Source organism: Homo sapiens, chromosome 15 (genome assembly GCF_000001405.40).
Source record: "Homo sapiens chromosome 15, GRCh38.p14 Primary Assembly".
NCBI lineage: Eukaryota > Metazoa > Chordata > Mammalia > Primates > Hominidae > Homo > Homo sapiens.
Genome location: NC_000015.10, coordinates 55,448,161 through 55,466,834, shown reverse-complemented (window position 1 = coordinate 55,466,834; position 18,674 = coordinate 55,448,161). Strand labels below are relative to the sequence as shown.

At 41.6% G+C, this 18,674-nt stretch overlaps 1 protein-coding gene and 1 long non-coding RNA gene across 4 annotated transcripts in view; both read left to right on the top strand.

Annotated features, from left to right (window-relative positions):
- The window catches only part of DNAAF4-CCPG1 (DNAAF4-CCPG1 readthrough (NMD candidate)), a 143,362-nt gene that overhangs the window by 31,750 nt on the left and 92,938 nt on the right, over positions 1 to 18,674 (top strand). The window contains exon 5 of the long non-coding RNA NR_037923.1: positions 16,468 to 16,613. This is a non-coding gene — a long non-coding RNA (DNAAF4-CCPG1 readthrough (NMD candidate)). The remainder of the gene's footprint in view (positions 1 to 16,467; positions 16,614 to 18,674) is intronic.
- The window catches only part of DNAAF4 (dynein axonemal assembly factor 4), a 90,480-nt gene that overhangs the window by 41,400 nt on the left and 30,406 nt on the right, over positions 1 to 18,674 (top strand). For all 3 annotated transcript variants that reach the window (NM_001033560.2, NM_001033559.3, NM_130810.4), the window contains exon 6: positions 16,468 to 16,613. In NM_001033560.2, coding sequence (NP_001028732.1) covers positions 16,468 to 16,613 — 146 coding nt within the window. The remainder of the gene's footprint in view (positions 1 to 16,467; positions 16,614 to 18,674) is intronic.

The following is an 18,674-nucleotide window of genomic DNA, read 5'->3' as shown; positions in this document are numbered from 1 at the left end:
ACTGTTTTGGCACATTGAGAATAAGCAATTCAGTACAAAGACTAAAGTAAAGACATTTCTTCTTTCGGGGATAATGAAGTTTTCTAATAAAATGAGCAAGGATTCGTTCAAGGATTCGAAAAGAAGAGTGTCTTCTTTGCTTGTGTGCTTTCTTTTGAAATTTACAAAGATGTTGTTAAATAAGTGCTTAACTCAGGCCCAAAAAGACTTGGAGTGGACTAGCAATGTCAGAAGCATTCATTTATTCCATTAGAGATAAGAAACTAGGAATTTCATTAAAAGACCTTTTCCTCACATCACTTAGGAAAATGAGTACTATAAGCAGACTTACTCTACAGCAAATAAAGATTGCTTCTAGCTTTTAATCTTGGTGTATTCAAAAACAGATAAATTAATATAATTTTTTTTTTTGAGACAAGGTCTGGCCCTATCGCCCAGGCTGGAGTGCAATGGTGTGATCTGAGCTCACTGCAGCCTCTGCCTCCCCAGCTCAAGCCATCCTGCCTTAGCCTCCCAAGTAGCTGGGACTACAGGCATGTGCCTCAATGTCCAGCTAATGCTTTTTTGTATTTTTTGTAGAGACGAGGTTTTGCCATGTTGCCCAGGCTGGTCTTGAACTCGTGAGCTCAAGCAATCTGCCTGCCTTGGCCTCCCAAAGTGCTGAGATTGTGTGCATGAGCCACCATGTCCAGCTGATACAAATATAATTCAGTTTTTGTATGTGTGTGTTTTTAAAATTATTATTTCAGTAGTTTTGGGGAAACAGGTGGTGTTTGGTTACATGTATAAGTTCTTTAGTGGTGATTTCTGAGATTTTGGTGGACCCATCAACCAAGCAGTGTACACTGCACCCAATGTGTAGTCTTTTATCCCTCACCCCTGCACCCTTCCCCCCTAGTCCCCAGGCCCATATCATTCTTATGCCTTGGCATCCTCATAGCTCAGCTCCCATTTATGAGTGAGAACATGGGCCAGGAGCAGTGGCTCATGCCTGTAATCCTAACACTTTGGGAGGACAAGGCGGGCAGATCATCTGAGGTTGGGAGTTCGAGACCAGTCTGACCAATATGGAGAAACCCCATCTTTACTAAAATTACAAAATTAACCAGGTGTGGTGGCACATATCTGTAATCCCAGCTACTCAGGAGGCCGAGGCAGGAGAATCGCTTGAACCTGGGAGGCGGAGGTTATGGTGAACCGAGATCGTGCCATTGCATTCCAGCCTGGGCAACAAGAGCAAAACTCTGTCTCAAAAAAAAAAAAAAAAAAAGTGAGAACATATGGTATTTGGTTTTCCATTTCTGAGTTACTTCATGTAGCATAATCGTCTCCAACTCCATCCAGGTTGCCGAGAATGCCATTATTTTATTCCTTTTTATGGCTGAGTAGCATTCCATGATTGTATGTGTGTCTGTGTGTGTGTGTGTGTGTGTGTGTGTGTATATATACACCATATTTTCTTTATCTTCTCATTAGTTGATAGGCATTTAGGCTAGTTCTATATTTTTGCAATTGCAATTGTGCTGCTATAAACATGAGTGTGCAAGTGTCTAATGACTTCTTTTTCTCTAGATAGATACCCAGTAGGGGGATTGCTGGATCAAATGGCGGTTCTACTTTTCGTTCTTTAAGGCATCTATCTCCACACTGTCTTCCATAGTAGTTGTACTAGTTTACATTCCCACCAGCAGTGTAAAAGTGTCCCTTTTCACCACATCTACACCAACATCTGTTATTTTTTCATTTTTAAATTATGGTCATTCTTAACAGGAGTAAGGTGGTATCGCATTGTGGTTTTGATTTGCATTTCCCTAATAATTAGCGGTGTTGAGCATTTTTTCATGTTTGTTGGACATTTGTTTGTTTGTTTATTTATTTTGAGATGGAATTTCGCTCTTGTTGCCCAGGCTGGAGTGCAATGGCACGATCTCGGCTCACCACAACCTCTGCCTCCCAGGTTCAAGCGATTCTCCTGCTTCAGCCTCCCGAGTAGCTAGGATTACAGGCATGTACCACCATGCCTGGCTAATTTAGAGATGGGGTTTCTCCATGTTGGTCAGGCTGGTCTCGAACTCTTGACCTCAGGTGATCCGCCTGCCTCAGCCTCGAAAAGTGATGGGATTACAGGCATGAGCCACCACACCTGGCGGGACATTTGTATATCTTCTTTTGAGAATTGTCTATTCATGTCCTTAGCCCACTTTTTGATGGGATTGTTTGTTTTGTTCTTGCTGATTTGTTTGAGTTCCCTGTACATTGTGGATATTAGTCCTTCGTCAGATGCATAGTTTGTGAAGATTTTCTTCCATTCTGTGGGTTGTCTGTTTACTGTGCTGATTATTTCTTTTGCTGTGCAGAAGCTTTTTAGTTTAATTAAGTCCCATCTATTTATCTTTGTTTTTGTTTCATTTGCTTTTGGATTCTTGGCCATCAAGTCTTTGCCTAAGCCAGTGTTAGAAGGGGTTTTCCAGTGTTATCTTCTAGAATTTTTATGATTTCAGGTCTTAGACTTAAGTCTTTGATCCATCTTGAGTTAATTTTTGTGTTAGGGGAGAGATGAGGATCCAGTTTCATACCCCTACATGTGGTTTGCCAATTATCCCAGCACCATTTGTTGAATAGGTTGTCCTTTCCCCACTTTATGGTTTTGTTTGCTTTGTCAAAGATTGGTTGGCTGTATTTGACTTTATGTCTGGGTTCTCTATTCTGTTCCATTGGCCTATGTGCCTGTTTTTATACCAGTACTATACTGTTTTGGTAACTGTGGCCTTGTAGTATAGTTTGAAGTCAGGTAATATGATCCCCTCAGATTTGTTCTTTTTGCTTAGTCTTGCTTTGGCTATATGGGCTCTTTTTTTGTTCTATATGAATTTTAGGATTGTTTTTTCTAGTTCTGTGAAGAATGATGATGATATTTTGATGGGAATTGCACTGAATTTGTAGATTGCTTTTGGCAGTATGGTCATTTTCAAAATACTGATTCTACCCATCTGTGAGCATGGGATGTATTTCCATTTGTTTGTGTCATCTATGATTTCTTTCAGCAGTGTTTTGTAGTTTTCCTTGTGAGATCTTTCACCTCTTTAGTTAGGTATATTCCTAAGTATTTTGGTTTTTTGTTTTGTTTTTTGGGTTTTTTTGCAGCTGTTGTAAAAGAGGTTGAGTTCTTGATGTGATTCTCAGCCTGGTCCTTGTTGGTGTATAGTAGTGCTACTGATTTGTGTGCATTGATTTTGTATTCTGAAACTTTACTTGAATTCATATATCAGATCTAGGAGCTTTTTGGATGAATCTTTAGGATTTTCTAGGTATACGATCATATCATTGGCCAACAATGACAACTTGACTTCCTCCTTACTGATTTAGATGCTCTTTCTTTCTTTCTCTTGTCTGATCGCTCTGGCTAGGACTTCCAGTACTCTGTTAAATAGTGTTGGTGAAAGTGGACATCCTTGTCTTGTTCCAGTTCTCAGGGGAAACACTTTCAACTTTTCACTGTTTATTATAATATTGGCCATGGGTTTGTCAAAGATGGCTTTTATTACCTTAAGGTATGTCCCTTCTGTGCCCATTTTGCTGAGGGTTTTAGTCATAAAGGGATGCTGGATTTTGTCAAATGCTTTGTGTGTGTGTGTGTGTGTGTGTGTGTGTGTGTGTGTGTGAGACAGAGTCTCACTGTGTTCCTTAGGCTGGAGTGCAGTGGCATGATCTTGGCTCACTGCAACCTCTGCCTCCCAAATTCAAGCAGTTCTCCTGCCTCAACCTCCCCAGTATCTGGGATTACAGGTGTGCACCACCACACCTAGCTAACTTTTTGTATTTTTTAGTAGAGACAGGGTTTCGCCATGTTGGCCAGGCTGGCCTCAAAACTCCTGACCTCAAATGATCCGTCTGCCTCGGCTTCCCGAAGTGCTGGGATTACAGGCATGAGCCACCACACTCGGCCTCAAATGCTTTTTCTGCATTTATTGAGATGATTGTATGATTTTTGTTTTGACTTCTGTTTATGTGGTGTATTATATTTATTGATTTTTTGTGTGTGTATGTTAAACCAGCCCTGCATCCCTGGTATGAAACCCACTTAATTATGGTGTATTACCTTTTTGATATGCTGTTGCATTTGGTTAGCTAGTATTTGGTTGAGGAGTGTTACATCTGTGTTCATCAGGGATATTGTTCTGTAGTTTTCTTTTTTTTTTTTTTGTTATGTCCTTTCCTGGTTTTGGTATTAGGGTAGTACTGGCGTTGTAGAATGATTTAGGGAGGATTTCCTCCTTATCTTTTGAAATAGTTTTAATAGGATTGGTACCAGTTCTCTTAGAATGTCTGTTAGAATTCAGCTGTTGGGCTGGGCACATGGCTCATACCTGTAATCCCAGCCTTTGAGAGGCCAAGGCAGGCAATCTCCTGAGGTCAGGAGTTCAAGACCAGCCTGCCCAACGTGGTGAAACCTCATCTAACTAAAAATACAAAAATTAGCAGGGTGTGGTGGCATGTGCCTGTAATCCCATCTACTCGGGAAGCTGAGGCAGGAGAATCGCTTAAACCCGGAGATGGAGGTTGCAATGAGCCGAGATCTCACCACTGCATTCCAGCCTGGGGGCAAGAGAACAAGACCCTGTCTTAAAAAAAAAAAACCAGCTGTGAATCCATCTGGTCCTGGACTTTTTTTAGTTGGCCATTTTTAAATTACTGTTTCAATCTCCCTACCTGCTATTGGTCTTTTCAGAGTTTCTATTTCTTCCTGGCTTAATCTGGGAGGATTGTTTAATTCCTTCTAGGTTGAGGAATTTATCCATCTCCTGTAGGTTTTCTAGTTTGTGTGCACAAAGGTATTCATAGTAGCTTTGAATGATCTTTTGTATCCCTGTGGTATTTGTTGTAATTTCTCTCATTTCATTTCTAATCGAGCTTATTTGGATCTTATTCTTTTCTGGGTTAATCTTACTAATGGTCTATCAGTTTTGTTTGTCTTTTCAAAGAACCAGCATTTTGTTTAATTTTTCTTTTGTATTTTTTTCTTTCAGTTTCATTTAGTTCTGCTCTGATCTTTGTTATTTCTTTTCTTGTGCTGGGTTTGGGTTTGATGTGTTCTTTTTTCTCTAGTTTCTTGATGTGTGAGCCTAGATTGTCTGTTTATGCTCTTTCAGACTTTTTGATGTAGGCGTTTAGTGCTATGAACTTTCCTCTTAGCACTGCTTTTGCTGTATCCCAGAGGTTTTGACTGGTTGTGTCACTATTATCGTTCAGTTCAAAGAATTTTAAAATTTCCGTCTTGATTTCATTGTTGACCCAAAGATCATTCAGGGGCAGGTTACGTAATTTCCATATATTTGTATAGTTTTGAGTGTTCCTTTTGAAGTCAATATCCAGTTTTATTCCACTGTGGTCTTAGAGAGTATTTGATATAATTTTGATTTTCTTAAATTTACTGAGATGGGCTGGGCGTGGTGGCTCACACCTGTAATCTCAGTACTTTGGGAGGCCTAGGTGGGTGGATCACGAGGTCAGGAGATCGAGACCATTCTGGTCTCTAACCAGAGACCAGAATCTGGTGGCTAACACGGTGAAACCCCATCTCTACTAAAAGTACAAAAAATTAGCCAGGCGTGGTGGGGGGCACCTGTAGTCCCAGCTACTCGGGAGGCTGAGGCAGGAGAATGGCATGAACCCAGGAGGCGGAGTTTGCAGTGAGCCGAGACTGCACCACTGCACTCCAGCCTGGGCAACAGTGCAAGACTCTGTCTCAAAAAAAAAAAATTATTGAGATGGCTGGGCGCAGTGGCTCATGCCTGTAATCCTAGCACTTTGGGAGGCCAGGGAAGGTGGATCACCTGAGGTCAGGAGTTTGAGACCAGCCTGGCCAACATGGTGAAACCTTGTCTTTACTAAAAATACAAAAATTAGGCTGGTGTGGTGGCGGGGGCCTGTAATCCCAGCTGCTTGGGAGGCTGAGGCAGAAGAATCACTTGAGCCCAAGAGGTGGAGGTTGCGGTGAGTCGAGATCACGCCACTGCACTCCAGCCTGGGTGACAAAGCGAGGCTCTGTCTCAAAAAAAAAAAAAAATTATTGAGACTTGTTTTGTGTTCTATCATTTGGTTTATCTTGGAATGAATGTTCCATGTGCTGATGAAAAGAATGCATATTCTGCAGTTGTTGGGTAGAATATTCTGTAAATATCTATTAAGTCCATTTGTTCTAGGATATAGTTTAAATCCATTATTTCTTTGTTGACTTTCTGTCTTGATTACCTGTCTAGTGCTGTCAGTAGAGTACTGAAGTCCTCCACTATTATTGTGGTGCTATCTCATTTCTTAGGTCTAATAATAACTGTTTTATAAATTTGAGAATTCCGGCCGGGCGCGGTGGCTCATGCCTGTAATCTCAGCACTTTGGGAGGCCGAGGCGGGTGGATCACGGGTGGTCAGGAGTTTGAGACCAGCCTGACCAACATGGTGAAACCCCGTCTCTACTAAAAACACAAAAATTAGCCGGGCGTGCTGGCACGCACCTGTAATCCCAGCTACTCAGGAGGCTGAGGCAGGAGAATTGCATGAATCTGGAGGTGGAGGTTGCAGTGAGCCGAGACTGCACCACGGCACTCCAGCCTGGGCGACAGAGTGAGACTCTGTCTCAAAAAAAAAAATAAATAAATAAGTAAATAAATAAATAAATAAATTTGAGAGTTCTAGTGTTAGGTGCATAAATATTTAGGATTGTGATATTTTCCTGTTGGACTAATTCTTTTATCATTATATAATGTCCTTTTTTATCTTTTTTAACTGTTGTTGCTTTAAAGTCTGCTTTGTTTTGTATAAGAATAGCTATTCCTGGCTAGGCGCAGTGGCTCACGCCTGTAATCCCAGCACTTTGGGAGGCCGAGGCGGGCAGATTACGAGGTCAGGAGTTTGAGACCAGCCAGGCCAACATGGTGAAACTCTGTCTCTACTAAAAATACAAAAATTAGCCAGGCGTGGTGGCGCGTGCCTGTAGTCCCAGCTACTTGGAAAGCTAAGGCAGGAGAATCGCTTGACCCCAGGAGGCAGAGGTTGCAGTGAGCCAAGATTGCACCACTACACTCCAGCCTGGGCAACAGAAGGAGACTCTGTCTCAAAAAAAAAAAGAAAGAAAGAAAGAAAGAAAAAAGAATAGCTACTCCTGCTGACTTTGGTGTTCATTTGCATGGAATATCTTTTTCCACCCTGTTTATGAGTCCTTATATGTTAGGCAAGTCTGTTAAAAGACTTACTTGGTTGGTTGATTTTTATCCATTTGACATTCTGTATCTTTTAAGTGGAGCATTTAGGCCATTTACATTCAATATCAGTATTGAGATGTGAGGTACTGTTCTATTCATCATGCTAGTTGTTGCTGTACCTTATTTTTTTTCATTGTGTTATTGTTTTATAGATCCTATGAGATTTATGTTTTAAGGAGGTTCTATTTTGGTATATTTTGAGGTTTTGTTTCAATATTTAGAACTCCTTTTAGCATTTATTGTAGTGCTGGCATGGTAGTGACAAATTCAGCATTTGTTTGTTTGAAAAAGACTTTATCTCGCCTCTGGTTATGAAGCTTAGTTTCACTGGATACAAAACTCTTAGCGGATAATTATTTTGTTTAAGGAGGCTAAAGATAGGACCCCCATCCCTTCTGGCTTGCAGGGCTTCTGCTAAGAAATCTGCTGTTAATCTGATAGGTTCTCCTTTATAGATTACCTGGTGCTTTTGCCTCACAGCTCTTTTTTTTTTTTTTTTTGAGACAGAGTCTTGCTCTGTCACCCAGGCTAGAGTGCAGTAGCGTGATCTCGGCTCACTGCAACCTCCAACTCCCGGGTTCAAGCAATTCTCCTGCCTCAGCCTCCTGAGTAGCTGGGATTACAGGCACCTGCCACCACGCCTGGCTGATTTTTGTATTTTTAGTAGAGATGGTGTTTCACCATCTTGGTTGGCCAGGCTGGTCTCGAACTCCTGACCTCGTGATCCACCCGCCTTGGCCTCCCAAAGTGCTGAGATTACAGATGTGGGCCACTGTGCCTGACCTTGCCTCACAGCTCTTAAGATTCTTTCTTTCATCTTTACTTTAGACAATGTGATGACTATGTGCCTAGGCAATGATCTTTTTGCAATGAATTCCCCGGGTGTTCTTTGAGCTTCTTGTATTTGGATGTCTAGATCTCTAGCAAGACCATGGAAGTTTTTCTTGATTATTCCCTCAAGTATGTTTTCCAAACTTTTAGATTTCCCTTCTTCCTCAGGAGCACCAATTATTCTTATGTTTGCTTGTTTACATAATCTCAGATTTCTTGGAGGCTTTGTTCATTTTTTAAAATTCTTTTTTTCTTTGTCTTTGTTGGATTGGGTTCGTTTGAAAGCCTTGTCTTTGATCTCTGAAGTTATTTCTTCTACTTGTTCAAATCTATTGTTGAAACTTTCCAGTGTATTTTGCATTTCTTTAAGTGTGTCTTTCATTTCCAGAAGTTTTGATTATTTTTTCTTTATAATATCTATTTCTCTGGAGACTTTTCCATTCATATCCTCCTTTTTTTAAAAATTTCTTTAAGTTGATTTTCACCTTCCTCTAGTGCCTTCTTGAGGAGCTTAATAATCAACCTTCTGAATTATTTATCTGGCAATTCACAGATTTCTTCTTAGTTTGGATCCATTGCTGGAGAGCTAGTATGATCTTTTGGGGGTGTTACAGAACCTTGTATTGTCATATTACTAGAATTACTTTTCTGGTTCCTTCTCATTTGAGTAGACTGTTTCAGTGGTAAGATCTGGAACTCAAGGGCTACTGTTCAGATTCTTCTGTCCCATGGGTGTTCCCTTGATGTGGTGCCCTCCCCCTGCCACTAGGGATGGGGCTTCCTGAGAGCCAGACTGCAGTGATTGTTATTGCCCTTCTATTTCTAGCCACCCAGTTGGGCCCCAGGCTGGTGCTGGGGAATGTCTGCAAAGAGCCCTGTGATGTGATCCACAGGTCTCCCAGCCGTGGATACCAGCACCTGTTCTGGTGGTGGCAGGTGAGTGAAGTGGATTCTGTTGGAGTCTTTTGTTGTAATTTTGTTTAGTGCACTTCAAGTACTGGTTATGTAAGCAGTGAAGTTGTCACGTGGACAGATTCAGGACCTCTGGCTAGACAGGGTGTTGCAGGAAGTGGAATTAGCTGTTGTTTTCTCCTTCTTTGGAGCAGGGTTGTTCTGTTATGAGTTGCTATGGTGGCTTGAGTTCGTTGGGCTCCAGCCAGGAGGTGGCACTTTCAAGAGGGCACCAGCTGCAGTATAGAAGAGAGATATAATCTTGATGTTGGCCGGGACAAGTACTCGGGTTTCTCAGGTGATGGGCAGGGCCATAGAGCAGGTAGAGAAAACCTTGCCCCATCAGGTGGGGGCAAGGTTAGTTGGGTCTGGGCTCAGGCTCCCCTTGGGTGGGGCTTGCTGTGGCCACAGTGGGGGTGGAGGGGATTCTCAGGCCAATGGAATTATGTTCCCAGGGGCATTATGGCTGCCTCTGCTGTGCTATACAGGTCACCAGGGAGGTGGGGGAAAGCTGGCAGTGACAGGCCTCACCTAGCTCCCAGGCAGCCACCAAGGCCAGTCTCACTCTGGCCATGCCACCCCAACCGCACTGCGTTTATATCCAGGCAGTTGGTGAGCAGGGCTGAGATCTTGCCCCAGACTATAAGCCTTGCCACTGAGAAAGCAAGAGGGCTGTTAGGCCTCACCAGTCCCTGCCTGCCCACACTATTGGCTGTGGCTTCTGCACTCGCATCTGTACTTCCCATTTGCCCCCTCTGCCACCAATTTCTGCTTAGGAAAATTCCTGCTCAGTCAAAATTATTACAAAGTTCAGCTACAAGCTTCCTTCACCCTGTGGTCCTGCCCCAATTCCACTGGCTGCCTTCCCGTCTCCAAGGACCTCTGTGAGATCACGCCAGGAATGGCTTCCTTGGACTCCAGCTGGGGATGGAAGTACCTATAGGGCTCTTCCTGCTGCTTCTTCTACTTTCATATTTTGCTCAGCTACCTAAATCTATTTCAGCTCAGGGTAAAGTTAAATCCTTCCCCTGTGATCTGGATTTTCAGGTTCCCCAGTGGGGATGTATGTTCAGAGACTGACCTTTTCTTCCCTCACACTTTGGGAACTCACGGTTTTTCAGCTGTTTCATGGCATTTGCAGCAGCGAACCACTTCTTTCAAAGGGTCTGTGAATTCTTTCAGTTTTCCTACAGTGTTTCTTGCGGTGTTCCTGAAGTGATTCTTGGAGTAAAAGTTCGCATTGTGAGTCTCCAGATGCTGTTCTGTCCATCCAGGTGGCAGCTGCATGTTAATCCTGTCTCCGATCTGCCATTTTCCCTCCTATCTCCCAATGAATATAATTCTATACTGAAAGCTACGAGTTTGGTTTTATCTAATTTTAGAATATTAAACTTTGTTTTGGATGCATTTTCCGCCGGATGCAGTGGCTCACGCCTGTAATCCCAGAACTTTGAGAGGCTGAGGCGGGCAGATCACCTGAAGTCGGGTGTTCAAGACTAGCCTGACCAACATGGAGAAACCCTGTCTCTACTAAAAATACAAAACTAGCCGGACGTGGTGGTGGGTGCCTGTAATCCCAGCTACTCGGGAGGCACTGAGGCAGGAGAATCGCTTGAACCCAGGGAGGTGGAGGTTGCAGTGAAGCGAGATCTTGCCATTGCACTCCAGCCTGGGCAACAAGAGTGAAACTCCATCTCAAAAAAAAAAAAAAGAAATATTTAGTATTTTCCTTACATAAGTCATTATTGAATTCCTATAAATTTAACATTTTAGTGTAAAATCACATATATAATAATAATAATTAACATTTATTAGGTGACTACTATGTGCCAGGGGATTTTATTGCTTGGGTCACTCAGTCTTCACAACACTTCAGTCTAAGTGCTGCTATTCTTATTTTAGAGGAAATAGATGTTCAGAAAAAAAAAATAACTATGAATAAGTAAACTTGTGGGATTTGAACCCAGATCTGGTCTGCATCTGAAACCTGTGCTATTTCCACCAGGTCATATGTCTTTACAACTTTAACAGTGAGGCTTGGCATATTGAAAAGTCATTTAGAGCCTGGGCATGGTGGCTAACGCCTATAATCCCAGTACTTTGGGAGGCCGAGGTGGGCAGATCACCTGAGGTTAGGAGTTCCAGACCACCCTGGGCAACATGGCGAAACCCTGTCTCTACTAAAAATGCAAAAATTAGCCAGGTGTGGTGGCATGCGCCTGTAGTCCCAGTTACTCAGGAGGCTGAGGCAGGAGAATCACTTGAACCCAGGAGGAAGAGGCTGCAGTGAGCCAAGATCGCGCCACTGCATTCCAGTGTGGGTGACAGAGTGAGACCCTGTCTCAAAACAACAAAAACAAAAAAAAGTCATTTAGATTGAATATATATATATATATATATATATATTCAATTTGCTAATATTTTATAAGCAGTTGTCACATTTATCTTCATATTGAGGTTCAGTTATATTTTTCTTTCCTCATACTGTTCTTGTCTAGATTGTATACCAAATTGTACCAGACCTATATACTATAGAGCGTTTTTCTTTTTCTACTATTTGAAACAATATAGTTAGATAAGAGAAATACCTGTTGTTTTAAGGCTTAGTAAAACTTCCCCTAAAACTGTCTAGGTCTGGAGTTTTTTTATGGAGGTTTTTTTAAAAAAAAAAAAAGATTCAGTTTCTATAATAGTTATTGATTATTGAAATTTTCCAAAGTCAATTTTGGTAGTTTGTCTTCTAAATTGTGCATTTTATCTATTCAAATTCATTTTCATAAAGTTTTTATTTACTTATCTGTACTTTATCTATAATTATATAATTTATTAATTTCTAATATTGTTCTTTTTTTTGAGACAGGATCTCACCCTGTCACCCAGGATGAAGTATAATGGATCTAGCTTGATGCTTAATAAAGTAATCTATCCTTTGTTTCTGGTTGTTTTAAAATTCTTTCCCTTGGTATATTATGGGTTCATTAGTATAAGTTCAATTTTATATTTATTTATCTCATAATATCATAACTTGGAGCATACTGTCACTCAGAGAACTTTGTCATTCATCAATTCTGGGAATTTCAAAACTATTGTCTTCAAATATTACCTTCTTGGCTGGTAATTTACCTTCTTGGCTCATGCCTGTAATCTCAGCACTTTGGGAGGCTGAGTTGGGCGAATTACTTGAGACCAGGAGTTCGAGACTTGCCTGGCTAACATGGTGAAACCCCATCTCTACTAAAAATACAAAAATTAGCTGGCTGTGGTGGCACATAGCTGTAATCCCAGCTACTTGGGATACTGAGGCATGGGAATTGCTTGAACCCGGGAGGCAGAGGCTGCAGTGAGCCAAGATCGTGCCACTGCACTCTAGCCTGGGTAACAGAGTGAGACTCTGTCTCAAAAACAAAAACAAAAACAAACAAATATTACATTATTGTATTCTCTTGTTTTCAATATATATTTTCAAATTACACAGATGTTTTTCTTTTTTTTTGAGACAGAGTCTTGCTCTGTTGTCCATGCTGGAGTGCAGTGGCACGATCTCAGCTCACTGCAACCTCCACCTCCTGGGTTCAAGCAATTCCCCTGCCTCAGCCTCCTTAGTAGCTGGGACTACAGATGTGCACCACCACACCAAGCTAATTTTTGTATTTTTAGAAGACACGGGGTTTCACCATATTGGCCACGCTGATCTTGAATTCCTGACCTCAAGCGATCTACCTGTCTTGGCCTCCCAAAATCCTGGGATTACAGGCGTGAGCCACCATACCTGGCCAACTTTCTTGTATTCTCTTTATCTTCCTCAGCTATTTTCTGTATAATATCCTCAGATCTATCTTCTAGTTTATAAATTTTCTTCAACCATGACTAATTTTATGTTATACTTGTCCAAGATGTTTTTAATTTCAGTGACAATATTTTTCATTTTGAAAGTTCTGTTTTTTGGCCAGGCGCTGTGGCTCATGCCTGTAATCCCAGCACTTTGGGGGGCCGAGGTGGGTGGATCACGAGGTCAGGAGATGGAGACCATCCTGGCTAACCCGGTGAAACCCCGTCTCTACTAAAAGTACAAAAAATTAGCTGGACGTGGTGGTGGGTGCCTGTAGTCCCAGCTACTCAGGAGGCTGAGGCAGGAGAATGGCGTGAACCCGGGAGGCAGAGCTTGCAGTGAGCCGAGATCGCGCCACTACACTCCAGCCTAGGCGACAGAGCAAGATGCTGTCTCAAAAAAAAAAAAAAAAAAAAGAACTGTTTTTTTTTCACACCTCTCTGTTCTTTGTCACTAGCTTCTTAGTTTTCATTATTGATGTTAGCCTGTCTTTACTGGCTTTAAGTAAGTATGTTTAAAATGATCAATCTCTTTCAGATTGTTGTGCTATTTCAAAGTCTTGGGGAGCCAGTCGTCTTATTTGTTGTGTCTGCTGATTGTTCCTCATACTGGATTGTTTCCTCTTGTGAATTGTGCTTTTTTGCCTGACCACTAATCTTCTGCAAAAACTTCTTAGTGTGTATGTATGAGGAAATATCATATATTCTTATTTGCAAAAGACTTGTTGATGAGGAATACCTGGAGCTTCCATTTCTTACAAGAGACATTTTTTCCAAGCTTCACTTTCTAAGATTAGTGAGCAGAGATCGTATAAGCATCCTTTTCACTAAGAGTGATGCCCACTGGGCACGGTGGCTCATGCCTGTAATCCCAGCACTTTGGGAGGCCAAGGTGGGTGGCTCACGAGATCAGGAGTTCGAGACCAGCCTGGCCAACATGATGAAACCCGTGTCTACTAAAAATACAAAAAAATTAGCTGGGCATGGTGGTGCACGTCTGTAATTCCAGCTACTCAGGAGGCTGAGGCAGGAGAATCGCTTGAACCCGGGAGGTCCTACCCTTCTATGATTCTAGTTTCATTTCCACCTCCCCACCTCTGTACCTATATCAGCATTAAATTTCCAGTCTCCAGCCATTGATATTAATCTATTTGCATCTAAAATCTTTCCAAACAGCTTTGTGTCAGCTTTTGAGATGACCCTGGCTTTAAGTTCGATGATGAAGCATTTCCTTTACTTACTTTTGAAACTGAACTATATATTGAACCTTTTGTTTATTTATTTTTTATCAAGAATTTGTATGTGTTCATAACATTTTACCTTTTCATAAAATTGCATGTAAAACTTTGTAGTAAAAGTTTTAACCTGTGTTGTTACAAACAGCAAATTTCTTTTTTATGTTTTGCAATTTGCAAATGGAAAATAGAAGAGTTTGTAAATTAGATATATGAGTTTGGAAATTATATATCTTATTTTTACTGTAACTAGTGGTCACTGTAATATTTTTTATAAACACATAAAGATTTGTTTTTCTGTAGCAATATAGTTTTTTTTAGTTATCCTCATGGGATAATAGTGATGATTTCCTGCATGTTCTATATCGTATTAATCATTAGTATTATTAGTAATCTGAAGTAAAATGAAGTATGCTTGATTTTTACTTTCTATTCTATTTTCCTTCTTTTTTTCCTTTTCCTTTTTTTTTTTTTTTTTTTTTTTTTAGTGAGACATGCTCTGTTGTCCAGGCTGGAGTGCAGTGGCGTGATCTTGGCTCACTGCAGCCTCTGCCTCCCAGGTTGAAGCGATTCTCCTGCCTCAGCTTCCCAAATAGCTGGGATTACAGGTGCCTGCCACCACCCCTGACTAATTTTTTGTAATTTTAGTAGAGATGAGGTTTCACCATGTTGGCCAAGCTGGTCTCCAACTCCTGACCTCAAGTGATCCACCCGCCTCAGCATCCCGAAGTGCTAGGATTACAGGTGTGAGCCGCTGCGCCCAGACCTATTTTCCTTCTTTTGTATTACTATTTAAAAATATTATTTACAGGCTGGGTGTGGTGGCTTACACCTGTAATCTCAGCACTTTGAGAGGCCAAGATGGGAGGATTGCTTGAGCCCAGGAGTTCAAGAGCAGCCTGGGCAACAAAACAAGACCCCATCTCTACAAAAAAGCATACAAACAAAAAATTAGCCATGTATGGTGGTGGGCACCTGTAGTGCCTGCTCTTGAAAGGCTGAGATGGGAGGATTTTTTGAGCCAAGGGGTTCAAAGCTGCAGTGTGCTGTGATTGCATCACTGCACTCCAGCCTCGGTGACGGTAATAACCCTGTCTCAAAAAAAAAAAAAGATATTATTCACAAAATTTTTAGTGTGTTCTCCACTGCTTTAGAAAACCCATTCTTTTTCATTTTGCTCTCAAATTCCCCACTCCTGGTTTCTTAATGTTATTTCTCTGTGTTCTGGAACATTTATTTGAGTAATGTATTCACAAAAGATGACTAGGTAGTGTTGGCTGAGTTCTTACATACCTAGAAATGTCTTTTGCCATTATGAGTGAGCAACAGTTAACTTGGATATAAAATTATTGGGATCTTGTATTAGGTAGGTTCAAGCCGAGCATTGTAAAATAAAGCCCCAAATGTACAGATCAAATAAAGATAAAAATTTAGTTCTCTTTAATGTAATACTTTGTTATGCAACAGTGCTCAACGACTGTGTTCTACAAGGCCATCCTGGCTGATGGGATCACCTCTGTTATCACATTATTTGGCTTTCATCTTTGAGTCTAAGAGCGCTCCTTCCCCCCTTGCCCCAGTCCTTTGAAATGTCTAGTCAAGACCCTTTCCTAGTTTTCGTTTGTTTGTTTGTTGGAGACGGAGTCTCACTCTGTTGCCCAGGCTGGAGTGTATGGCACGATCTCGGCTAACTGCAACCTCCACCTCCCAGGTTCAAGCAAGTCTCCTGTCTTAGCCTCCCAAGTAGCTGGGATTATAGGTATGTGCCACAGGCCTGGCTAATTTTTATATTTTTAGTAGAGACAGGGTTTCATCATGTTGGCCAGGCTGGTCTTGAACTCCTGACCTCAGGTGATTGGCCCGCCTTGGCCTCCCAAAGTGCTGTGATTACAGACATGAGCCACTGCGCCCGTCCTTGCCAGTTCTCATTAGTTCTCTTTGATGGCTAAAACCTCTTACACTATTATAAGAAAGCATATAGGAGATAAAGTATGTAGGAGATACTGCTATAGAGTTTAAGGAGATAGAGATGGTATTGGCAGTGGTGGTTTTGCCTATGTGCCCTTCTCTAGAGTTGATGTAGAGTTGCCTAGAGTATCCTCCCTTAGAGTTGATGTGAATTAAACACTGTGGTTTTACAAAGAGAACCCCAGAAAAGTAGCTGAGGCCATTGATAAAGAGCAGGTAGGTCATTAGCTGCTATATTATCATTGCTAAATTTTGCATTCTTTTCTTGCAGAAAATATATTTGATTTATTTGTTTAGGATTTGGGGGTGAGCTTTGATGTGTAATTACTTTATCAGTTGATTGTTAACTAGAAAATGAGAAATAAGTGACTTGTTTGCTACCATTGTTTTTGAAGGGAGAAATTCAGAAAATATATTTACTGAGAAGTTAAAGGAAGACAGTATTCCTGCTCCTCGCTCTGTTGGCAGTATTAAAATCAACTTTACCCCTCGAGTATTCCCAACAGCTCTTCGTGAATCACAAGTAGCAGAAGAGGAGGAGGTATATATACTTACTCTAGTTACAATTACCACAAATGAAAATACTTTATTTTTATTTCATCTATTGAAATTAGTACTGGTTCTGAATTTCTTAAGTATTTATTACACTAAAGAAATAACGTCATGAATATGTTTTAGAATTTCCTTATGAGAAAATATATTTTGCAGATGTTTTTGGCTCCAGAATAGTGATAAGAGAATACCGACTTAATATATGTACAGTAGGCCGGGCGCAGTGGCTCATGCCTGCAATCCCAGCACTTTGGGAGCCCGAGATGGGTGGATCACTTGAGGTCAGGAGTTCAAGACCAACCTGACTAACATGGGGAAACTCCATCTGTACTAAAAATACAAAAATTAGCCTGGCGTGGTGGCGAGCACCTGTGATCGCAGCTACTAGCGGGGCTGGGGCAGGAGAATTGCTTGAACTTGGGATGTGGAGGTTGCAGTGAGCCGAGATTGCACCATTGTACTCCAGCCTGGGCAACAGAGTGAGACTTTGAATCAAAAAAAAAAAAAAAAAAAAGCGGTCTTTTTGTTGTTGTTGTTTGTTTTAGAGATGGAGTTTTTGCTCTTGTTGCCCAGGCTGGAGTGCAGTGGGCACAATCTCAGTTCACTGCAACCTCCTCCTCCCAGGTTCAAACAATTCTCCTGCCTCAGCCTCCCTAGTAGCTGGGATTACAGGCATGCGCCAGCATGTCTGGCTAATTTTTTATATTTTTAGTAGAGATGGGGTTTCACCATGTTGGTCAGGCTGGTCTCAAACTCCTGACCTCAGGCGATCCACCCTGCTCGGCCTCCCAATGTGCTGGGATTATAGGCATGAGCCACCGTACCCAGCCAAGAACTGCATTTTTTTACTGCGAGGCTGAATTGATGCATCTTTGATTTGAAAAATTGTAGAAATAAGAAGATCCTTAAGACATAATGACAAGCCGGGCGTGGTGGCTCACGCCTGTAATTCTAGCACTTTGGGAGGCCGAGGTGGGTGGATCACCTGAGGTCAGGAGTTTGAGACCAGCCTGGCCAACATGGTGAAACCCCATCGCTATTAAAAATACAAAAATTAGTCCAGTGTGGTGGCAGGCACCTGTAATCCCAGCTACTCGGGAGGCTGAGGCAGGAGAATCACTTGAACCCGGGGGTCAGAGGTTGCAATGAGCCAAGATTGCACCATTTCACTCCAGCCTGGGTGAAAGAGTGAAACTCTGTCTCAAAAAAAAAAATAAAAAATAAAAGACATAATGACAATATAAATAATTATTTCATATTATTAAACAAGGTATTTTCTATATTTGTAACATTTCTATAATTATACAGTTATAATAATAATAATAATTATTATTATTTTGTGGGATGGAGTCTCGCTCTGTCCCCTAGGCTGGAGTGCAGTGGCGCAGTCTCCGCTCACTGCAAGCTCCACCTCCTGGGTTCATGCCATTCTCTTGCCTCAGCCTCCCGAGTAGCTGGGACTACAGGTGCCCACCGCCACGCCCAGCTAATTTTGTGTAGTTTTTAATAGAGATGGGGTTTCACCATATTAGCCAGGATGGTCTCAATCTCCTGAACTTGTGATCCACCCACCTCGGCCTCCCAAAGTGCTGGGATTACAGGTGTGAGCCACTGCGCCCGGCCCATAGAATTATTTTTGAATTGTGTTTATACACACACACACACACACACACACACACACACACACACACCCTTTTTTTTTTTTTTTTTGAGTTGGGGGTCTTGCTCTGCTGCCCAGGCTGGAGTACAGTGGGACAATCATGGCTCACTGTAGCCTTGAACTCTTGGGCTCAAGTGACCTTCTGCATATTTTTCAGTACAGAAAAATGAAAATATAAAAGAATTTTAGATCAATATCCTGGATGAACATCGATGCAAAAATCCTCAATAAAATGCTGGCAAACCGAATGCAGCAGCACATCAAAAAGCTTATCCACCATGATCAAATGGGCTTCATCCCTGGGATGCAAGGCTGGTTCAACATACGCAAATCAGTAAACGTAATCCAGCATATAAACAGAACCAAAGATAAAAACCGCATGATTATCTC